This window comes from Homo sapiens, chromosome 4 (assembly GCF_000001405.40).
Source record: "Homo sapiens chromosome 4, GRCh38.p14 Primary Assembly".
Taxonomy (NCBI): domain Eukaryota; kingdom Metazoa; phylum Chordata; class Mammalia; order Primates; family Hominidae; genus Homo; species Homo sapiens.
Genome location: NC_000004.12, coordinates 64,389,747 through 64,415,564, shown reverse-complemented (window position 1 = coordinate 64,415,564; position 25,818 = coordinate 64,389,747). Strand labels below are relative to the sequence as shown.

Sequence of the window (25,818 nt, the reverse complement as noted above, 5' to 3'; positions counted from 1 at the left end):
AAGTGCAGTGAGTGTTTCAAAGAATGCAGAAGAAATAAAAATTCAGGCAAAAAATACAACAAATCTTCCCTGCCAAATTATTTAATCTCATATAACCTTTTCCTCTTCACATATAGCACTAATTTACTATGCTATGTATTTCATCTTTGCCTAATTCTCAATACTGGGGGGTTATATATTGTGTAAAGATATTTAGATCATTCTAATTTGTTTTATGCATTTTTTTTGCAAATTTGATTTCATGAAAGTGTATTATCACAACATTGACTTTGTGGGTTAGTGTTGTGCAAGTACAGAAAGTCCTTGAAATTTCCTCAGTAAATTAAAAGGTGTCACTTTTGTATATCTGCATTTGCACACAATAAAATTTCTCAAGATCTTAGCTCTTTAAGAGACTGCACCCATTACAGTTTTTGATCTATCTTATTTGAACAATTAGGTAGTCCATTATGGTACTTTAAATTACTGCAGTTAAAAGCTAAAAAAAATTGGGTGCACAAAATTGCCAACTACAGTGCTATGTGTTTATACATTTTACTTTTTGACCTATTTATTTATGAATATGGTTCATCTGCTCATACTTTATAGTGATGTGACAGTTCTTAGTATACCAGTGTCTATACTCACAAAAATATGCATGTCATTATTTCCTAATTTATTATGTAAAGTGGTCCATGAAGTATTCTTTCATATTTTTAATGTTTCTGAAGTAAATCTATTTAAACATATAAATAAACATTTTATAGAATTTTTAAATACTTTTTTCAGAATTATATTTTTGGGATTTTGATCGTCCAGGACTTTGATTTCCAGGATTTTAAACTGTAGGAATTTTTATCTTTTGGGATTTCAGCATCCAGGGTCATGGCATTCAAGATTGTGTCTTTGGGGATCAAGGCCCAAACCCATTAAAACAGTTTGCCTATTAGTATACTTATTACTATTAAGTGTATTACAACGATTTAAATTTAGAAAGAGAAAGCACAGGAATAATTTTAATGTTTGAGCAGGGTGATGGGGATGAAGAAAGACACAGAAACCTGATTTGAAAAACATAGATCTGTTTATATATATAATCTGTTCATATATATATAACACCTTCTGTTTTCAAAAAAATTCTGTTTACTTTATATGAATTTTCTTGTTAGATTTCATAAAAGTCCTATAAGATTCATAATGTTATAAAAATGTATCAGTTAATAGAAATCTTGAGATCATATAACTCTTTAGAAGAAAGAGCTTCTTGAATCCATACAATTTCCAGTAAATGATGCCATTTTCTATATGTATCTTTCTTACCTATGTGTTTGCCTACATCTAACAATAATGTAGCTTGATGTATACAGTATTTTGAAAATCTGCTCATTATGTAACTTCCTGAATTCCAATTCTTTTTATCTAATATGTAACATTTTTGCATGAATACTGACACAAAATAATACAGGGCAAGTGGTTTGCCTTTAGAGTCCTATTTTGTTTTCTCTTTCACCTGCCCATCCCCAGGTTCAGTGTCTTCCAACATATATTTGGGTAGCATTTAGCATAGATTAAAAACACAATTTTTATTGTGAGGTCCTCGAAGAGAAACCACAGACTGGAAGTTTGTATTTGTAACACAAATATCTGATGAAGGAGCTATATCTATAATGTACTAAGAAATCTTAAAACTCAAAAATAAGAAAACAAATTAATTACAAAATGGACAAAAGATGTGAACAAACACCTCACCAAAGAAGATATACAGATATCAAATATGCATATTAAAATATATTCAATATCACGTCATTATGAAATAAGACAAACAGATGCCACAAAACATCAATTAGATATGGCTAAAACCCAAAACACTGACAATACCAAATGCTGGAGAGGATGTGGAGTGACAGCAACTCCCATTCATTGCTGGGTGGGATGCAAAATGATACAACCACTTTAAAAGACATTCCGGCAGTTTCTTATAAAGTTAACCATAAGCTTACCATTCATTCCCACAATTATACTCATAGCTATTTACCAAATAAATTTAAAATTATATTCATATAAAAACCTGCACACAAATACTCATAGCAACAAACAAGGTTTCCTTTAATAGGAAGGACAAACAAAATATGGTACATCCTTACAACTAGGTATTTTTCAGCAATTAAAAACAATTAATGAGCTGTTAAGCTATGAAAGAACATGGAGGAAGTTTAAATATGAATTGCTAAGTGAGAGAAGCCAGTCTGAAAACATTACGTACTACATATTCCAACTAATGACATTATGGGAAAAGCAAAACTATGAAAATGATAAAATCATCAGTGATTTCCAGGGCTTAGAGGGGCTAAGGATGGATGAACAATTGGTAGATAGAATATTTTAGGTCACCAAAACTGTTCTGTATAATATTGTCATGGTGGATACATTTTGCATTTGTCACAACACAGTAAAACACAAACTGGGAAATCTAAAATAACCTAGTGAAATTAGTTAATGATAATATATCAATGTTGGTTCTTCAACTATAAAAATTTTACTACACTATGAAAGATGTTAAATAATAATTAAAGAAACTAATGTTGAGGATGTGCAAAGGATTATTAGGAAAATCTGTGCCTTATGCTTAATTTTTCTGTAAATTAAAACTGCTCTAAGCCTTGTTGTTAATGTTAAAAATGAGCTGAAAAGAAGTAACACCTCAAATGGAGACTAAACTGAAATGAAATGCTTTTTGTTAAAAAATATAAAAAATAGGAAGTGAATATAATGTAATTTTTTCTGTTCAGTGTTTTTAACAACTAAATGCAACTGGAATGAAGATTCCATCTTTTGACTGTGTATTTTTATTAATGTGTGTGTATTTTTATTATTTTTAAATTTTAAATATATTTTAAATTGGAATATAGTTTACCAAATGATATCCATTATCTAGTACGAGTATTAATTCAATGTTATTTTCATTGTGATATGTTTAGCAAAACCATATAAAACACCTTAACAAATAACAAATATTTTGTTTTTAAAACTACTTCATGTATAGGTAATAAAATAATAAGTAGTATAATATCTGAAATTTTTTACTTCCCTTCAAAATTTTTAACTTAGGTGAATAGATGCAATTTTCCTCTTTTCAGGGATACTCGCCCCCCCATCTTTTTGTCTCTTTCTACATTCCTTGCTTTTGTTATTATTTTGGTGGGTGTAAGTTTATTTTACACCTTTTATTTTGGAATGATTTTATCAGACCTGAGAAAAAAGTAGAAAGTTTTGTATATTCATCACTGGATTTACCTTAATTTTACATATTGCATCACTATAGTAGATTTACCATACTCAGAATTAACATTGATGCAATACGGTTAAACTACAGATGTTATATTTATTTCAACAGATTTTCCCACTAACATTCTTTTTTGGTTCCAGAAAACAACCCTGGATAGCACATCGAATGTTCCAGTAGTGTCCCTGTGTAGGCTTTTCTGATCTGTCGCAGTCTCAATTTTTCTCGATTTTTTATCGTGTTGATACTTTTGAATAGTATTGGTCCCATATTATGTAAAATGTCCCTCAATTTGTCCTTGATGTATTCTTGTAGCTGGATTGAGATAATGAGGTTTGGAGGAATATTACAAGAGTGAAGCATTCTTCTCCTTTCATGACATAATGAGTACATGAATGGCAACATGACTTTTCATGGTGATAATAGACTTGGTCAAGTGGTTAAGATGCTATCTGCTTTCCGGATTTCTCTTCTATAAAGTGGCTGTTTTTCCCTTTTCATTCATTATTTTTTGTAAATGTGTCAGTAATTGAAACCCACACTCAAGGAGACAATATATCCATAAATTATGTGGAAGTCTTGTGTAAGGAAGACTTGCTCCTGGTTCTTATTTATTTATTTATTTATTTATTATGTATTCAATCATTTATTTATAATGGTATGAACTCCTAGGTATACTGTTTTGTGAATTTGAACCCATTATTATTAGTACTTATTTTGTTGCTTGAATTATTCAAACTTTGGCTATGAGAGCTCTTTCCAATTGGCTTCTGAATTCTTTTGACTATTTCTTTTTCTTTTTCTTTTTTTTTTGAGACGGAGTCTTGCTCTGTCACCCAGGCTGGAATGGAGTGGTGCGATCTTGGCTCTCAGCAACCTCCACCTCCTGAGTTCAAGTGATTCTTCTGCCTCAGCCTTCCGAGTAGCTGGGACTGCAGGCGCTCGCCACCACACCCAGCGAATTTTTGTATTTTTAGTAGAGACGGGGTTTCACTATGTTGGCCAGGTTGGTCTCGAACTCCTGACTTGTGATGTGCCCACCTCGGCCTCCCAAAGGGCTGGGATTACAGGCGTGACCCACTGCACCCAGCCAACTATTCCTTTTTTTAAATAAAAAAAAAAAAAATCTGGAGAAACATTATATGAATAGTGTTTAGGTCATTTCAATATAATGCAATAACTTAGCACAATATCATTCTGTTACACATTCAAATTATACTTTTTGGTCATTAATTAATTTATTTAATACTGTTTATGGATCACCAGTCCATATTAGAAACTGTTCTAAATGCTGTAAATAGGTTAGGGGATATGGTCAGAGAGATGTCATAGGGTGCTGGGTGATGCAGAACTTTGCAAACCTTTGCAAATATCTTTGGCTTTTTTTTTTTTTTTAACATAAAATAGAAAGCCCCTGCAGTGTGTTGAGCAGATTAAGTTACCCACTTAATATAGAACCAGGTCACTCCACCTACTGTTTTAAAAATAGACTATTGATTGACTAGTGTTGGGGTAGGAAGAGCAGTTTGGATATGCAATACAGGTGAGATTCATGCTTGGATTGTAACTGTGAACAGATTGTGTAGTGGATCTCTGATGGATTAGATGTGAGGTGTGGGAGAAATGGAGAAGTTAAAGATGATTCCAAGTTTGAAGTGCTGAACAACCAGATGATAAAGTTGCATAATGTGTGCCCACACATACGTGTAAAAAGACACATATCCCTATCATTTATATTTTTGAAAATATAAAATATTGAATGTAATGTAATATAAAATATTAAGTGTCAACATAATAACTGAAGAGTGTAAAGTGAATCTCTAGGGCATAATGTATAATAAAATTAAAAATGAATACATTATTTTAGTTGTTTATAAAAGTAAAGATTAGCCTCAGGTAGATAACAGGTTTCCTCCCCTATATATTTTGTGTCATTTTATTTGTATGTTTTCATTGAAAATCACATTCCAGAATATTTTCCTTTAATATCATTTTGAATCAGTGATAATATGTTTTGGATTTTTTTTTCAGTTGTTTCTTCATCAGATTTACATATCTCAGAGGACTAGGAGTTTTTCTAAAAGCTCTTTTGCCAGGATGTTTTTCAGATTTCATTTTTCATTCTGAGGCTATCTGTATTTTCTATAACATAGTGTTGTGGAAAATGTGATGCTGACTACAGATTTTGTATATCAGTTCAACAGATTTCCAAAGATATACAATGTTAAAATAATGTTTACTTCTTTTTCCCCAGGTTACAAAATTGTTCTCTATCAAATTCTAATCTCATAGTTTGCTATCTTTTCAATGTTTATATGAAGTGAAGAATTCATCATTTTATATTGTGTAACAGTTATTTTAAGTTCGTTGGGATTTGTAATTAGTACTGACAAAAATAAATTTTTCACTTTAGAATGCTTTACATGCACATGCACATATATTTATATATAAAACATATATAAACATATATATGCCACTTCTCTTTACCTTAGACAGGATTTTTTAAATGTTACATAGTAATGTACTAGGACTTTTAAAAATTTAACTTTAAGATAGCACTTTGCTAATGTTAAATACATCTCAATGCAAATGTGTGTGTGTGTTTGAAGATCAGTGCATCCAGAACTCAGAGATGATGAAAATGTTCTGTCTATTCTTGCTTTGGAATTTCAGATAAGAGTAGTCATATTACAAAGCAGAGATAAAAGGAGAAAGCAAGAAATCATTCAATTGCTGGTAAAGTAATACTCTACACAGCAAATCACAATAGCGTGTTATATATAGAAATAAGATCAGTCACTGTTTTCAAGCCTGCTAAATAAAACTGAACTCTTGGAATGGCATACCATTTGACCTTTCAAAGGTTCTCCAGCAGTATTTAACTGATGCAAAAGGAACACACTTGCAATTTTCTACTTTTGACATGACAGACCCTCCTCTTAGTTCACACAATGTTCAAAAGGCACAAGTCCCTCGCTTCGGAACGCAAGAGAGCATTACTTTCCCAAAGAGCTACACGGTTCATACTGAAGGATGATATGAGAAATTTTCACTTTTTGTCAAAACTTGTACTCTCAGCGGGCCCTCTAAGACCAACTCCAGCAGTCAAACATTCAAAAACGACTCACTTTGAGATTGAAATATTTGATGCTCAAACAAGGAAACAGATATGTATTCTGGATAAGGTGAGTTTATTTATTTATTTATTTGTTTGTTTGTTTAAGTGTTTCTTCTCTGCCCCAAATATTATTGATTGCTTGATTAAATTCTAACACGACTGTTCTGAAATACATTTCTGACTTTTACCTTAATTTTGTGGTGAACAGGATGCATACTTTATGCATTGTTTTAATAGAAGATGTTCAATGCATCTCTCATACTCAATTTAAATTAATTAAATGGTAGATAATAATGAGGTTCTGTCATTGGTCTGTGAATTTTATGCTGTCATTGACCATTGTCCACAGGTAAAATTACAAATGCTCAACCTATTTTCCTACATGTAAAATGTCTCCAGGTTTTTGTCTTCGTGTACTTCATTGTATATACAAATTATCATAGAGTTTGATTAGTTTCTATAGAAAATAGTAAGCAAAAGCCACAGTAGTTGTTAGAAGTAACATGTAATATGTCTGAAAAAATTTAATCATTTAAGCATTATTTTGAATTGATTTTATTATTTTTCTTAAAAAGTGACTACCTCACTTTTTATGAAAGTTTACTTGCTTCAAAAACACTATTTAAGTTCATGAAAATAATGTTTTGAAATGTTACTCGTCCAAATCCATATTCACAGGTGTTGCACTAAGGAATGAGAAAATATACTCTTCTTAGGTTAGAAAACTAAATTATAAATATATGTTTATATTTTAGATAAATATATGCATAAATAATATTCCAAGCATTTTCAGTTTTTAATAAATTTGAAAAGTACTATTAACTTAATATGAGAAAGGCATATTTGTACAGGTAATAAAATAGAGCTTGATCTTGTTTTACAAAAATATTGAATACGTTTTTGTTGCTGTGTTCTAAAAATAAAATGCAATCAATCATTCCGTTTTTCCATGTTCTAGCTAGGTCTTTAGAAAAAAGGAAAAAAGAAGCTGTTTAGTCCTTTCTTTAATAATTGCCAAGCACATAATATATAATTTCTTATTCAGTAATTATAACACTATGAGCAGTTTATAAATTGAGTTATATTAACTTTAATTCATAGATGGAAAAGAAAGATTAAGACCTTTTATTAGTGCACACAGGTCATGAATTGAACTAAAAGATCTAAAACCATTTCTGTACAGTTTTAAATCATATGCTTTTTCTATAGTTCTACTGAGGCCATATATAAGCGATGAGTATATATCATACAAAATAGAATTTTGATATATTTATTTCAGGACTTCTATAATTTACTTTTATTTTAGTATCAAGGTGAAGTTTTGAGATTTTTAAATATCATACAAAATATTTAATATTTAAATATATTACACAAATATTTTATATTTAAATATCATAAGAAAAATAAAAAAATAAAATTACTCTTCAGAAGTTGCTAATGTTTATAATATTCCACTATGAAAAACACAAATCTTACAAGAAAAAACACAGTTAAATTCAAGGACACAGTGCAACAAATGGAATGAAAATCAAATAAGTCAAGGATTTCCAAAGACTACAATTCTAAAATGACACTGGTTATTGTGTCCTTTCTGACAGGTGTATAGACCCTGACAGGCAATCCACCTTAAAGTAATGAAAAACTCATGATGTTTAAATGTTCTTTTACTTAATTACACACACACACACACACACACACATGCCAATTAGTTCCTAATTATTTGCCTTACACATTTAAATTTTTTCTTATTCATATTTTATTTGAAGGTAAGACAGGGATTTTTATATTTTTACGTGTTAATTAAATTGTGAAAAAAATTAAACATTTAGAAGAAATGAAATTTAAATATTCATTATTCAGAGATAAGAATTTTGCAATTTTGCATGGGAGTCTCATGTTTGAACTATGAGAGTCCTGACATTTGCATCTCAAGTGGCAGATCTTTATAGAAACTTAGCAGGCTAAATAGAGGATTAACACTGGATAGCTCATAATCCTTTATTGCACAATCACCCCTATATAATGTGCAATTTACTGCATTCAAATCTTTGATGTCTGAGTAGAAGTGGATCTTGCTGTGTCTTGTTTTAGTTTGTAAATTGATAAACTGTTTCATAATAGTGGTGAGACACTTCAGAGAAAAAAGTCTTCTAGATTAATTTTTTTTTTTTGCTTAGTAATTTCTAACATTTTGAATTTGTAAACATAAAAAAGACTGATTTATTTATTATTATTATTATTCCTGATGTTATTTTTCTTAGACAAATTAACAACTTTGTAGTAAGATCATATTAAGTGCCTTTCATTGTACCTGGCTCTACCCAGTGTACAAAAGAAATGTTGCTTATAACTTAGTGCCCGTCTTTCAATACTTACTATGCTGTAAAGTGGTACAATTTACATACCATGTACTTTGGAATTAAGCATATCTGGACTCAATCCCTGTTACATCATTTGTGTCTATCAAGGAGTAAGAAAGTCACTGAATTGCTCATCCCCAAGACCCTTATTTAGAATATGGGTTAATAAAATCATATCAATAAAGTTAATAAATGTTACTTTGGAAACTTCTAGTAGAGTAGGGATAATATATGTTACATGCTTAGAATAGCGCTTTGACCATAATATGGACAAAATTATTATTATTATTTTATTTTTAATAATCATTTGGAGAGAGAAAGTAATATACATAAAATATAACAATAACAAATGCTGAGCCTTTTGATAACTTGCTAAGAATTTAAATTTGACTTCTTAATATTTAATTATTCTTTGACATGATTTGTTATAATGCTTAGGATAGATATATTTATCAAATATCTTAAATGAGATGTATTATCTTAGTAATGTATGTTCTAACAGAAACTTTGTTTTATGTCTATTACTCAAACTTTAAAATGGACAAAGTATAGACTCAAAATATTCATGAGATAAAAATTTTGAGAAAAGTCCTAGGATGAAAGAAAATATATTTATTATGTTCTTTAACTTAATTACACACATACACACACACACACACGCGCGCGCGCGCGCGCGCCTAACAAATAAAAAAGCTTTCTCTTGCCTCTGCTGTCGTCTCTAGTTTTTGCCCATTTCTCTCATTACTTTCCTTAGGTATTCATATTGTCAGCTTTCATTTGCCTCTTCTCACTGTATCCTAGTCCCAATTCATTTGGGCACTCACTTCCATCAGTTCTCAGAATCTGAACTTACTGAGGTCACCAGTGAGGCACGGCAAATACTTTGCTAAATGCAGAGCCCTATTCTCACGTCTTATCTTACTGGGTATATCAACAACATTTTCCACTGTTAATCGCCTCCTCCTTAACTAGCATTTGTTATTTGAGTTCCAGGAGAATATACACTTTTTTTAACCAACTTCGTTGGCTTTTCCCTTTCCTTATTGCTGATTCTTCAACTGACTTATTAGGAATGGACTTTCAAGAACTGAGTCATCACAACTTCTCCTCCTCTACAATAATTTACTTTATTGAGTTCCATAATTTAAAAAAAACTTCCTAGTGATGTCTCATAAACATATACTGTAACCTATTATTTTCCTTGGACTGTAAATCTACATATCTATATATCGATTTAATCTATTGAGCTATCTGGATGTTTACCAGGCATATCAAACTTAATATCTCTAAAACTGACCACTTGGTCTTCTCCCAAACATCTTCCACAGAGCTACTTAAGCCAATAAGTGGCAACTACATCCTTCAAATAGCTCAGGCCAAACACTTGGAGAAATCATGACTTGTCTTTTAATCTGACACCTCACATACAATCCATCTTCTTGGCAATAGCTTCAAAATATATCAACCCTTCTACTTCTAGCACTCCTGAATCTTCCTCCTACTTGTGTCTTTATCACTTTCAATATATCCTCTACTAACAACAAGAACTAGCCTGTTAAATCCTGGCAGATAATATCATTTGCTCCTCAAAACTAGTCAATGCTTTTCTTTAGATCTTAACTGTTAACATTTCCTGGAGGCTTTTCCTGACTACTAAGAGAGCAAAGCTAGCCAACATTTTTTATTATGCTTCCTTGTTTTACTTCTTTACTAGACTTATTGCCAACTAAACTACTATTTATTTTTCTTTCTTTAGTTCATTATTTGGCCTACCCTTAGTATATAAGCACAAAAATATCAGATTGTTTGTTTGTTTTACACACTTGTATCTTCAGCATTAATAGCAATGTTTAACACAAATAAAGTGTTTAAACAATATGTGTTGAATAAGTGCACTCCGGTTCAAGAAACATGTGAATTTGACACAGCATTCATGTTCAGTAGTGATAGTTTTGAGATGGAGGAGTATAATATTTGAAAATAAAGTTTATGATTTTCTACATCAAATCAAATTATTGTTAGAATATTTGTTCATACATTCACATAAAAAGACATTCTCTCAAACCCTTTTACCTACTGCTCAAATTCTCCCCAGCTTATTCTGAAAACAAATACATATAATTTAACTTTGTGTTAGTGTATAATTCATTAATAGACAGTCATGTTCTGATGACAATTTTAATAAGATTTTCATAAAGCAGATGGGAATATTTATTTAGCTCATTTAGCTAGTTCCCATGAATGATTAAAATAACTAATCATGGATAACAAAATGGAGAGCAGATTTAAAATAATTGTTAAATACCATTTTCAAGTATTTGTTGGAACATTAAAAATAAGAGATTGTAGGAAAAATAAATTTTAAAAATATAACAATGAACCATTTCCAGTTGCTGCCTGCTGTTGTCTCATTTCTTTCTTGTAAAATGTCAGAAGCTTATCTACTGATAAGTCAATGATTGAAGAGCATGCAAGAACTCTAAGAGCCTGAGTTGATAAATGGTAAATGTTTCCAATATCATCTCATTCTATTTTCTTCAATCTTTTCTCCAAGTAACCTGACCTCAAGAGCTCTCTTTCTCCTATTGTTTTTTTTTTTTTTTTGGTAAAACTCTCAAAAGCTTTTTAAATATTTCTTATGAATAAAATAAAGCATTCAATAATTCTCTAATTCTTCTAATAGTAAAAATAACAATTGTCCTCAGAAAACAGTAGAAATAATTACAGGATAGTAAGAGTGCATACAAATTATACCTTTGTAACCTTAGAAATTTTGACAATTCTTAATTTTTGACATTGCCATTTTAATACTTTACCTTGTACATGATACTTAGCATATTTATGCTTTAGTTTGTTCATCTGTAAAATGGGAATAGTATCTGCCTTAGAATGGCCACATGGCAGTTTTCAGAATTTCGTGTACATGCAAATGACAGTATCTTTTTTTTTTTGTCTTTCTTTTCATTTTTCCTTCTCTTTTGCTCCATCTACTCTTCTGCCTCTTCCTCATATTCCTGCCCCCCTTTTCCTCCTCCCCATGCCCCCTCAGTCTTCTTTTTCCTATTTCTTATGGTGTTTCATGATATAAGAATTAATCAAAAGCACATGGGAGTTGAATTCAGAAAGTCTTCTATATTAGTATAAATCTGAGAGTGTGATTTCTTTTTCCTTAGGCATGGTCTGGTATCTCTGACTTTTATTCATTTTTTATGGAACAGGAAGGCTTTCCTGGAGAAGTTATATTTATGTGTGTCCTAGATAGTTTATAAGAAGAATATAACAGGGAGATATGCCTGAGGCTAAAATAATTTACTAAGTCTATGTGTGTGTGTGTGTGTGTGTGTGTGTGCGCTCAGGGAGGGAAGAATATTGTTTGTTTGCTTGCTTGCTTGCTAGCTTGCTTTCTTATTTTGAGTGCAGACAAGTAGACAGGCAGTTAGAAATCATCCTTTTTTTTTTCATTTTAAGTTGGAGATTCCTGTGTGATATCCATGTATAGTTAACCATTAGACCTTTGGCTGTGAAGAACTCAGGGGAGTGGTCATGGTTAAATATGTTGATTTGGAAATTTAAAATGTATAGGTGATCTTTGTAGCTGTTGGATTAGAGAAGATACATTTGTAAAGAACAATGTAATGAGTAGGAAGAGAAAAGAACCAGTTACAGAGGCCTGAGAAACTTCAGCATGTGTTTTAAATAAAGAGAAGATGATAAGGGAAAACAAGGAGAATGTACCAGAGAGATAGGAACACGGGGAATGTTTATCACAGAAACCTCACCAAGATAATTTAAGTAAAAAGGACAAGATTAGTGGTGTCAAATATGGCTAAGAAGCACAGAGAAATGCAATAAGTATCCCTTATATTAAATGGTGTGATATTCATTGAGTTTAACTAGACTACTTTAGGCAGAGTGATTTAGGGAGAACTCTAATCTGGGATGGGGGATTATAAACAATGGGAGATTGGGAGATAAGACACGTGAGTTCACTGGAAGGCATTGCTTTTGTAGGTAGCAGATCTTTTTACAGACTTACCCTTCATTTTTCAACTTTATACATCTCTTATGTACCCCAATTCACATTCTTGAGATTACTTTCTAGCTCTTCTCTATTACTACATGTGTCAACATTCTATACTACTTATCAGGCTCAATACACATTTTGTAATTTTTATTTCTTGAGTTTCAGGAAAATTTGATTCCCTTGCTTGAAGTGTGTTCCGTCACAATCTGTATAGTTCATATTCATTCCGTATTGTCCAAAAGAGATGACAACTCCTTTATGTGCCACTTAGGGTCTCCTATAAGCAGATGTACTCCTCATCCCAGTAATGATTCAAATATCTATTATTACTGTATATAATCCAATAGTTAGGAGTGGGCATTTGTAAGCTATCATAGACGTTTAAAAGAGATATTTTATGCTTGCCCAACCTACTATTTTAATCATAAAATAGTGAGGCTTATAATTGATATATTAGTATTTTTTTCTAATAGTTTATTTTCATTGTATTTTACAAATGTATCAGTCCATGACAAAATAGAAGTTTAAAAAAAATTACTTTACTCTACATAGTTTGAGAAGCACCAAATTAGATGACATGGAAATATTTTTAACACTGCCATGATTCAAACATTTGAAAGCCATCTAAATGTTATTTTACAATAAAACTATCTTGGGTTCAGAAAAAAGAATAGGTCATATCCAGGCTTTTCTTGAATTTGATTCTAAAGTTTGTATTTCCCTTGGTAGGCAAGGGAAAAGTAACTCTGAAATGTTTGTTTTGTACATATAAAAAAATAGCAAAAATGATCTAAATTTTTTAGACCAATGAAAAGTGAATAAATTGTGTTTTCTTTGGAAATTTTCTACTTAAAATGGTAAATCTGAGAAGATGAGGTAAACAAAGAAATGCTAACCATTAAAGGAATGAAATTAAGGGGAGCATATTGTGCAAATAAGAGAAAACCTATTTCCTATTAAATCAAGATTGAATGAATACAATTAATACTGGAAACACTAGTTTAAAAACATACATAAAGCTTAAATAACATTTCTGTCTACGGAAACTAGCAGTGAAGTGGTGACTATGTCAAGAGAGACGTACACATTTGAGAGAGCTATGCCTGCTTTGTTATTCAAATAGTTTAGATTACACGAAGCTTATAATGAAATGTATTTGCTAACCTTAAAATGCATGAATTTAATTGGAAAGACAGATAACACATTTAAAACAAATTACAATATAATAAATAGCATACACAAGTTTAACACAAATTATACTGAGAAGTCTAGGGAAATAATTCTTTTATGTAAAAGAAATTTAGTTATGAGTATGAGAGTCAAAGAATTGTTTAGCTGAAGATGGCACTTGAAAGGATCTTGAAAAGTATATAGTATAGAACATTAGCCTGGTTGAGGTCGAAAGAGCAACCCAGGAAGAAAGTTTAGCATATCCAAGAAAAAAAGAGGCAGGAAAGTAATAAGCCAAGCTTCCTGGGTTGGTGTAATTAAGTACATGGTGTGATACTTCAAAACAGAGCAAACTGAGATTAAAATGGTATAGCTGGGGCTGATCAGAGAGGGCCTGATTGCCTTGCTAGGGCATTTGGACTATTTTTCTTTGAACAGGGTAATCATTTTTTTTCAGATCTGCCTTTCAGAAATTAAATCTGTCAACTACGTGGAAGATAAAATGTGTAGTAGAAACCCTGAAGACAGTTCTATAAAACGGAGAAGAAATCTTGTGTGAGCTTGTTCAAGACTGCCACATTTGGGAGGCAAGATAGTATTGGGATCTGCTTAGGCTTTAAGACACTCAGCCACCTCACACACTTATCCAGGTTGTGACACTGGGCAAACTTATTATGTTTTCCCTTATATTTGTTGCATTGGGCCATTCTCACATTGCTATGAAGAAATATCTGAGACTGGGTAATTTATATAGAAAAGATGTTTAATTGGCTCACAGTTCTGCAGGCTGTACAGGAAGCCTAGTGGCATCTGCTTCTGGGGAGGCCTCAGGAAGTTTCCAATTGTTGCAGAATGCTAACGGGGAGCAGGCACTTCCCATGACCAAAGCAGGAGAAAAGAGGAAGAGAGGGGAGATGGCACACACTTTTAAACAATCAGATCCTGCAAGAACTCACTCACTATGAAGAGGACAGTGCCAAGAGAATGGTACTAAACCATTCATGAGAAATCTTCCCCCATGATCCAATCACTTCCCACCAGGCCCCACCTGCAACACTGGGGATTCCATTTATACATGAGATTTGGGCAGGGACAAATTCCCAAACTATATTTTTTCTGCCCTTGGTCCCTCCAAAATCTCATGCCCTTGTCACATTTCAAAATACCATCATGCCTTCCCAATAATCCCCCAAAGTCTTAACTCATTTTAGTGTTACCTCAAAAGTCCAAAGTCTGAAGTCTCTCTGAGACAAAGCAAGTCTTTTCCACCTATGAGCCTGTAAAATCAAAAACAAGTTAGTTACATGCAAGATACAATGGAGGTACAAGCATTGAGTAAACACTCCCATTCCAAAAAGGAGAAACCCACTAAAAGAAAGTGGCTACAGGGTCCATGCAAGTCCAAAACCTAGTAGAACAATAATTAAATCTTAAAGCTCCAGAATAATCTCCTTTGATATCATGTCTCACATCCAAGACACACTGGTTTGATAAAGTGAGCTCCCAAGGTCTTGGATAGCTCCACTCCTGTGACTTTGCAGGGTTCAGTCCCTATGGCTGCTCTAACAGGCTGGTAGGTTGGCATTGAGTGCCAGCAACTTTTCCAGGCAAACATAAGCTGGTGGATATATCATTCTTGGGATCTGGAGGACAGTGGCCCTTTTCTCACAACATCATGAGGCAGTGCCCCAGTGAGGACTCTGCGTGGAGACTCCAACTTCACACTCTGCACGGCCCTAGTAGTGGTTCTCCATGATGGCTTCCCACTGCCCTAGTAGAGGTTCTCCATGATGGTTCCACCCCTCCATCAGGCTTTTGCTTGGACACCCAGGCTTTTTCATATATCCGCTGAAATCTAGGCAATGGTTCCCAAGCCTCAACTTTGGCACTTTGTGCACCTGCAGGCTTAAAACCACTTACACTCCCTGAAGCAGCATCCCAAGCTGTACATAAGTCCCTTTGCACCAGGGTTGAAGCTCCAGCAGCCAGGAGGCAAAAGCAGTGTCCTGGGTCTAGGCAAGGCAGCAGGGCTCAAAACCTGGCCCAGGAAACCATTCTGTTCTCCCAGGCCTCAGGGCTTCTGGTGGGAGGGGCTGCCTCTTAGATATTTGAGATGCCTTCCAGGCCTTTTTCTCATTGTCTTGGCTATCAGCACTTGCCTTCTTCTTAGTTACACAAATTTCTCTAGCAAGTGGTTGCTCAGTAGCCTGCTCGAATTACTTCTCAAAAAACTCTTTTTTTTTCTATGCCGTGTGGCCAGGCTACATTTTTTTTGCAAACATTTATGCTCTGCTTCTCTTTTAAATATAAGTTCCAACTTCAAGTTATTCTTCTGCTACTGCATCTGAAATTAGGCTATGAGAAGTAGCCAGTGTGCATCTTGAACACTTTGCTGCTTAGAAATTTATTCCACAACCAGAGGTGTCCCAGGGAGAGAATACACTCGTGGGTTCTGAGTTTCTGTTTGTCTGGTTGGGCCAGTAAAGCCTCTTCTTTATCTCTCTTTTATGCTTATCACTGAAGACAGAAACTAAAACCATGTCTACAGGCTGCTTCAAGCCTAAAACAACAAAATAAAACAAGAACAACAACAACAAAATAAGGCAGGCTACACACGCTTGCATCATTCTCAAGTTTAAAGTTCCACGGATCCCTAGGGCATGGGCACAATGCACCCATGCTCTCTGCTGTGGTATAGCAAAGTGACCTTTTATCCAGTTCCCAGTAAGTTTCTCATTTTCTTCTGAGACATCTTCAGCCTAGAATTCACTGTCCGTATCATTATCAGAATTTTGGTCCCAATCATTTAATCAGTCTTTAAGTTTCAAACTTTCCCTCATCTTCCTTTCTTCTTCTGAACTCTCGAAACTCTTCCAACCTCTACCTGTTAGTGAATTCCAAAGCTGCTTCCAGATTCTCAGGTGTGCAATACTTCACCCTGCATTAGGCTGTTCTCACATTGCTATAAAAAATACCTGAGACTGGGTAATTTATAAAGGAAAGAGGTTTAATTGTCCCATAGTTCTGTGGGCCGTACAGGAAGTATAGTGGCATGGCACCTGCTTATGGGGAGGCCTCAGGAATCTTACAATTAGACAGAAGGTGAAGAGGGAGCAGGTGTATCATATGGTGAAAATAAGAACAAAGAGACAGAGAGAAGAGATGTGACACACCTTTAAACAACCAGATCTTGTGAGAACTCACTCACTTTTTTGAGGACAGTACCAAGAGAATGATATTAAATCATTCACGAGAAATCTGACCCCATGATTCATTTCCCTCCCACCAGGCTACATCTCCAGTATTGGAGATTCCATTTCACATGAGATTTGAGCAGGGACAACATCCAAACTATATTATTTAATGATATGAGTTTTCTCATTAGACGCACCTGAGAAATACAACCTTCCATAAGAAAATTTTCCCTAGGAAATGGCTATGGCACAGAGCCTTGAATAAATTAGGACATAGATACAAATTCAAATTTACAAATTTAATAATAACATGAAAATTCTCACATCCATTAAATGTATCAAACTACTATAAAATAATGTTTAATGAAATATACACATTGTAATAAAATTTTTAAAGATAATTACTTTTTAATATATGTGTTTATAAACAGTGTTTGGGGAATAAGCATAAAACAGTTCAAATTAAATATAAGTCATTGGGCACATTTTTTAGGACACACTTGAAACTATCAGAAATACACACACACACACACACACATATTTCTTTCCTAACTTAATTTTTACTGAATATCAACCCTGTGTTTAAGTCAGTTTGAGCTACTGTAACAAAAATATAAAATACCAAGTGGCTTATAAACAACAGAAATCTGTGCTAGATTCAGCAGCACATTGGAACAATAAAGAGATTAGCATGGCTGCTATATAGCAATGACATACAAATCCGTGAAGTGTTCTGTATTTTTCTTCTGGTTGGTAAAAAAAGAAAAAATATTTCTCATAGTTCAAGAGGCTGAGACATCCAGAATTAAGGCACCAGCAGATTCAGTACCTAATCAGGGCCAGCTTCCTGGTTCATAGTTTATGGCCATCTTCTGCTTGTGTATTCACATGGCTGAAGTAGTCTGGGAGTTTTCTCAGGCCTCTTTTGTAAGGGTGCTAATCCCTAATAACCTCACAAAGGCGCCACCTCCCAATACCATCATCTGGGTGTTAAAATTTCAACATATTAGTTTTAGGAGGATCTAAACATTCATCTTAGGACCATGTATGTATCAAAACTTAATAAATGTACTGTAGTTCCTTTCAAAGGTACTTACAGCCACATAGGTTAGGCAAACTTATATATCCAGTGGTAATAAAATTTAGAGTGTGGTATTACAGAGAAAATAAATATGACATTCCATTCTCACTTATTTTAGTTAAATTTAGTTTAACCTAGATTTTACTGTTTGGGTATATAATGAATGAAGGCAATCTCCCTACATAGAAACCTGAAAATGTGCATGACACACTAATTAGCAAAAAAGTTCAAGATAAATTTTTTTTTGTTGTTTTATAATATAAGAGTTCAAACAAAATAGATAAAGCTGTGTGGCTTTATTTCTGGGTTCTCTCTCATGTTCCATTAGTTTATGTGTCTGGTTTTGTAAGCTGTTTTGGTTATTGTAGCCTTGTAGTACAGTTTGAAATCAGATAGTGTGATGATCTTCAACACAGTCAACAAAAACAAGCAATGGGGAAAGGGCTTCCTATTCACTTAATAGTGCTGGAATAACTGGCTAACCATATGCAGAAGACTGAAACTGGACACCTTCCTGTCGCCATATACAAAAATCAACTCACAATGGAGTAAAGACTCAAATGTGAAACCTAAAACTGTAAAAGCCCTGGAAAAAAAATTATGAAATACAATCATGGAACTAGGAACTGGTAAAGATTTTATGATGAAGACTCCCAAAGCAATTACAACATAATAAAAAAATGACAACTGGGACCTATGGAAATTAAAGAGGTCCCTTACGGCAAAAGAAACTACCAACAGAGTAAACAGACAACCTAAGGAAGGAAGAAAGTGTTTGTAAACTATGCATCTGACAAAGTCTAATATCCAAGATCTATAAGGAACTTAAACAATTGAACATGCAAAAAAACAAACAACCACATTTAAAAATGGACAAAGGACATGAAAAGATACATATAACCAACAAGAATATGAAAAAAATACTCAACATTACTAATCATTAGAGAAATGCTAATCAAATCCACAATGAGAAACCATCACACATTAATAGTCAGAATGGTTACTATTAAAGTCAAAAATTAGCAAATGCTGGCAAGGTTCTAGAGAAAAGGGAATACTTATGTACTCCTGGTGGAAATGTACATTCATTCAATCATTGAGGAAAGCAGTTGGAGATTTCTCAAAGAATTTAAAGCAGAACTACCATTCAGCCCAGAAATTCCATTCATATTTCCACAGGAATATAAATTGTTCTACTAGAAAGACAAATACATGCACATGTATATTCATCACAGCAGTATTCACAATAGCAAAGACATGGAATCAACCTAAATGCCCATCAGTGATAGACTGGATATAGTCAACATGATACATGTATACCATGGAATACTACACAGCCATAAAAAAACAGACTCATGTCCTTTGTAGCAACATGGAAGAAGCTGGAGGCCATTATCCTAAGTGAATTAACTGAGGAACAGAAAACCAAATACTGCATGTTCTTACTTATAAATAGGATCTAAACATTGATTACATATGGACACATAAAAGGGAACAATAGACACTGGGGCCTACTTGAGGGTGGAGGGTAGAAGGAGAGTAAGAATAAGAAACTCACTATTGGCTACTATGTTTATTACCTGGGTTGTTTCATACTAAGCTAAAATAACCAAACTCCTGTGTCATGCAGTTTACCCCCGTAACAAACCTGCACATGTACCCTCTCAACCTACAATAAAAATTAAATAGAAAAAAATGATAAAGATTTTTCTTATATAATGTATTTGTATTTTGGGGAAATAATCTCAGTTTGCCCTTTTTATGGTTTTGTTTGATGCTTATTTTAGAAGTCAAGTCCAGATTACATGATATCAATACATTTTGGTAGTCTGACAATGAATCTGTCAAATCATTAGCTAACTTGGTTCTGTGATCTTAGTGTGTACTTAAATATAACACATTGTGATCGTGTTAGTTGTTCCTTTTCACTAAAGTTTTGTGCTCAAACTTATCTAATGATCTAGTGACAACTTTCTTTCCTCATAAAATTAGCATTTAATAAATGAGCAGTTATTTATGACAATGTTAAGTAACTTTTATAACTTAGGTTAATGGTAAATGTATGCAATTGATTAAGTATTAAAATATAATTTGGGTAAAATACATAATTTACAGGGCTTAAAAAAATTCACGTTTGGCTGGGAGCGGTGGCTTACGTCTGTAATCCCAGCAATTTGGGGGGCTGAGACAGGAGGATCACCTGAGGCCAGGAGTTTGAGACCAGCCTGGCCAACATAGACCAGCCTGGCCAATCTGTTTCTACTAAAAATACAAAAATTAGCCAGGTGTGGACGAGGTGCCTGTAATACCAGCTACTCAGGAGGTTGAGGCAGAAGAATCATTTGAACCCCGGAGACAAAGGTTGTGGTGAGCTGAGATTGTGCCACTGCACACCAGTCTGGGTAACAGAGTGAGACTCTGTCTCAAAAAAAAAAAAAAAAAAAAAAATGCTTGTTAATTTTTTGACTTGTAACATTAGGAAAATATTTATATTTCATGATCTCAATTTTTTTATCTTTTAAAGAGCTCAGTGTTTCCTACTTCACAAGGTTATTTTTGATGATCAAATGTTTATCTGTATACGTAGTAAAGTAGTACCTGCTGCACAGTAAATGCCCAATAAATTTTTCTCTTCCTATTTCCATTTTACTCTCCTCCACCACGTAGTGTAGTATAGTGGTTAAGGACAAGTATGGAAACACTCTGTGTTCAAGACCTATCTTTAGCTTCTTAACTGTGTGACCTTGTTAAATAACCTTGTTAATATCCACTTTGGGTCACAGTATTTTCATTTGTAAAATGTATGTAAAATATATATCTTATGCCACGGGAATTGTGTGTGAATTAAATTTTTAATAAAGATAAAATTCTAGGACTAGTACCTTTGGCTGCCTTTTCTACATTAAAGTCTGTGGAATGAATACATTCTGGAGGCGCATGTCCACTACAATTATCGAAGATTAAGCTTTCAACTTTCAAAAGACACTAATAAAATTAATGTTTAAAAATCTAGCTACACAACAATGAGGAAAATGGTGCTATTATGTTTGATAGTTGTCTCTTCTATACCATAAGGAGCATAGGCTACGCTACCTGCCATACTGCAGTGGAGAGGAAATTTTTATTATTATCTGCAATGATGATTTTACAGTCACTATACATAGCAGGTCATGTTGGTAATGAAAGTGACGTTATAATTCACATAAGAAAATAGTTGATAGTATATTTTTAACATCAGATGAGCTGACCATTTTTATTTATCTTATTTTGCCCAAGAAATGAATGTCTTGGTTAAAGATGGAGAGAACATATTTTGTTTGAAGAAGGAAAAACTAAATTACATTACTTATCAAATTTTCTTACTCCAAAAAAGTCTGAATTTCCAACAGCATTATATATATACATATATTTAGACATATACACAATGCTTAAAATATGTATGTAACATTTTATTTTTATCTAGCTAGCTAGCTCTTCAGAAATAAAAATAATATGCATGATGGATTCTTATGTAAGACTCAGAGAAAATATTGTAATCGTAACTGGGACTCTGACCTTCTTGAACACTCCAGATAATAATTTTTTTAATTTTAACAATTCTTCCTTGAGTCTATAATTTCTAAATACAATCATATATGATGTATTAACAATAAATATATTAGATTCATTATATTAATATTTATTTTCTGTAAGATAGTAAAACTACTCAATATAGAAGCAGAAATGGGAAAGCTATGAACTCTAAGTCTGATAAAATATATTTTAAGAAACTAAAATATCCTCATATTGTTTTCAATTTTAATGTCCTTAGGAAGGCAGTATAATCAAAACAACTCCTCTTACAAGGAGGAATTTGTAAAATTATTATACAATTAATTTTGAAAGTAACTTTTCCATTCGAACATCTCTGTGATTGCAAGATTCTGATGGATAAGGCAGGAGCATTATTTATCTTTCCATACACATGGAAGAAATTCATGTTCCCCCCCTTTGCAGTCAAAATCACATTTGGATTTGGAATCACCTCTATCCCTTTGGAGTTAGGTATGATCACATGATGTGTTTTGCAAATAAGAAAATGTAAAACTAAGTGATGCATGTCCTTTTTTGCCAAAGATTTCAGTCAGGGAGAATTCAGAATATTTTCCCCCCTCTACTTTAAATGCCAAAAGCCTTCTAGGTAATAGGTTTACTATCAATTATATCACAGATTTTGGTAACGGAAACAGACTGAACTATTGGTAGAAATGTAGCATCATCAACCAATCACTATTATTTCCAGATTCTGGGACTTCGGGGTTTGTTAGTCAAGCACAAATGATACTACAGCACCACCTCATTCCTAGCACCAAGTTATGTACTAAGCAGGATAGTAGAGTGACTAGTATATAACTTGATGCTAGGAATGAGGTGGTGCTGGAAGACATATTTACATGATGTAGAGATGGCTTAATTGTTCATTTGTGAGTAGTGAGAAAAACATCAGAAGCTGGAAAGATGAAAATCCAGGTCATGCTGTGGTAATTTGTAAAGTGTTGTGTATAGTAACTTATAAAGTACAGCATAGGCCTGATGAAATTGCTGATCTAGAAAAAAGTTGTTAATACCACCTGTGGTAGCCAATAAAAATTTGATGCTTACAGCAATACATTTCAGGAGAGAAGAGTTTATATGAAAGCTTGTGAAGCTGACAGACAATAAATATAAAAGCAGAGTTTAAGTCTTAAATTCAAAATATCTATCAGCCTCGACTAAAAAAAATACTTTATAAGCCTTAAAATTATTGTTTTCTCCCCAAATGCTTGGGGATAGGTAATGGGCTCTAGGAAAGCAGATAATGTCTTTTAGTTCATAGGTTGCTAGGTTAAATAGGCATATCTTATATCATTCAGAGAGTCTGGAGTTTGAGCTCGATGTCATGATTAGAAGGGGTTTTGCATTTCTTGAGGATATGCTGTGTGTATCTCGAAAATGTAAAGGAGATTGGACTAAATAGTTGGTGATCAGAAGTGTAGACGCAAATAAATATTACTATTTTTATTATGGTTTTTAACTGGTTCTCATACGGGAACATGGTAGGATTTAATTCACCTACCTCCCTGAAGTAACATGTTTTGTGCTGATGAAATATGGGTGGAATGCATACATTTATCACCAGACCGAAGCTGGAAGAACCTAACCTAATTTAATTACCTTTTCTTTTAGCTTTTGCCTTAGAAACAGTCAATGTTGCAGATGACTTCTGCTTTGTCAGTATAGATTCTAAAGTGAGGAGAATGCAGGGCAGATACACCAGTTAATCTGTGATATATATGCAGTATGTGTAGAAAATAAGCATGGACTGTTTTAAACCACTGGGTTTTGCAACACAACCTAGACTATTCTAGCAGGTGCATTCAATTAAATTTGAATTAAAGACAGCTTTCTTGATTTTGTCAGTTTATTTTTAAAGATCCTTCAATCATTAGAAGAACCTGTAACAAAGACAGTGTGACAGCAGCTTTCTATATCATTGTAACATATTTCTTCTTAAATTATTGCTTGTATATCAATGTCATATAGTTCATTTAAAAATGGGAGGCATATTTATAAAGTGTTTTATTGTTCACATAAGAGCATTCAATAAACTGGCTATATGAGTTAATCTATCCAGTCTCTGTTAATGTCTTCAATGAATGTACCTACTATATACTAGGATCTCTAGTCAATAATATTGAGAATAGAGACAGCAGAAATGAGCTTATCTTAAATATATAAAGTTGTATCAAAAGAATGATGAGATTTCTTAGATAATTAAGTTGAATTATCACAGTTGACGTAAAGATTCTGGCTTAAAAACTGTTTGAGTGTTGATGTTATTAATGGGGTAGACACAGTTTTTTGCCTAATACATATAGGACTCAGTTCTGGTCATTTAACTTTGAAATTACTCTGAGACAATCATGCAGACTGGTTAAACATCCAGTTGTATGTGTAAGTCTGCAGCTGTGAAAACAAGTTGGTGCTGGTAATATACATTTGAGAATATGAAAATATATGGCATTCAAAGTAATGGGAATGAGTGAGATCAACTTCCTTGACAAAACATAAGCTATTTTTACATAGGATCACCAAAGCAATTCAATTATGTGTTGAACCGTCATGGTTCATATAATCATCAAACTTTTTTTAGAATTTCAGACATATGTAATGATAAAATTTTCATTGTTCTCTCTAATGTCAGATACTCTGAATTTGTTTATACGTTGAGGACAAATTCTTCCAAGAGCATGCAATCCACATAGTTAAATTTAAAAAGTAATGCAATCATTTTTAGTGGCTGGCAATACGTGGTAGCATTTATGAGGACAGTGAGCCAATGATGCAGAAATAATTGTAGCCTCTATCTCTGTGGTTTGATGTCAAACAATTCATTAGTGATATGAACTTTCTAAAATTGATTTTCCTCCCTAATTATTTTTGCTTGAAACTCATTTCATATTTGTCATATTTTAAAAACTGTAACATAAATCTTTAAGTAGGAAAAATAAGTATATGACCATCACTTCAAAATTTGAAGTGCTCTAAATTTTTGAAATCAATTTTAAATCTGTTATCTCTCAGGGATATAGGATGTGAGGTTTCTTTACGTCAGTAGATTTATTCTAGTTATCTTAAAATAAAACCACACTACTTGGACAATATAATTAATAAGAGGACTGCTCAGTTTAAAGTAAGCAATGACTCCAAATAATCAATAATGTACAATAACAAAAGTCTAATGCTCACTTATATGACATGCTCAATGTGGATGAACTGTAGCTTTCCTCAAAGACCTATTCATTATGGAGCAGATTAAATTAAACAGCTTTTGTCTTTATTATTGTCAGTTTCCAAGTAGAATGAACAGAAATGTGGTGGACTCATAATGGCTCTTAAAACTTCTGCTTATATGCTAAACTTGTAACTTCCTGTTACATTTCACAGGCCAATCAAGTTACATGATCATGCTCCACTTTGACATGTTGAAGATATAAAACATTCCCTCTGAGAGAAATGCCCAGAGAGGGAACACAGCGATTTGAACATTTATAACCTTGTGAGGTTAAACAAAGTCTCTTTGCATCAAAAATACTTACTCCAAAATTCATGTGCTAAAGTTCATTCACTTTAATTATGTAAGGAGCCTCAATTTTTTATGCAAAGTTTATTAATGTGTTTGTTCAGTTGGAATAATTGTAGCTGCCTGGCTTCTAAGCCAGATAAGTGAGACCTGTAACAGGCAAATACCGGGACAAAACTAAAACAGTAAGAACCAGCAGCTTTGAGAACATACACTCATCAGGTAGAAGTCAGTAGCTCCCAGGTATATGAACATTTATAATGCTTTGTAAAGCAAGGCTTAACATGGACATACTTCTTCTGTTCATATTCCATTGGCTGAAGCAAACCAAAAAGCTAAGTCCAATGTCCACCAGCCCTCCCTTTCTAATAAAGAGGAGGGATAGAACAAATATTTGCTAAAATAACCTAATTTGTCACCAATTTTCAGTTTCCAAGAACAATTTAAATTATCTTTCATTTTTGAATAGGCATATATTTGTTTAAAAATTGAATCAATAATTAATAA

The 25,818-nt window shown here is 33.1% G+C and overlaps 1 protein-coding gene and 1 pseudogene across 9 annotated transcripts in view; both read left to right on the top strand.

Annotated features, from left to right (window-relative positions):
• The window catches only part of TECRL (trans-2,3-enoyl-CoA reductase like), a 133,163-nt gene continuing 113,449 nt past the window's right edge, over positions 6,105–25,818 (top strand). For 8 of the 9 annotated variants that reach the window (XR_001741192.3, XM_024453961.2, XM_005265664.4 and 5 more), the window contains exon 1: positions 6,105–6,447. Coding sequence is in view for 8 of the 9 variants with exons in the window: in XM_024453961.2 (XP_024309729.1) it covers positions 6,214–6,447 (234 nt within the window). In the remaining variant the exon portion in view is untranslated. The remainder of the gene's footprint in view (positions 6,448–25,818) is intronic. The other variant, NM_001010874.5, reaches the window with a different exon arrangement.
• On the top strand, positions 17,778–17,871 carry RNU6-191P (RNA, U6 small nuclear 191, pseudogene; annotated as a pseudogene).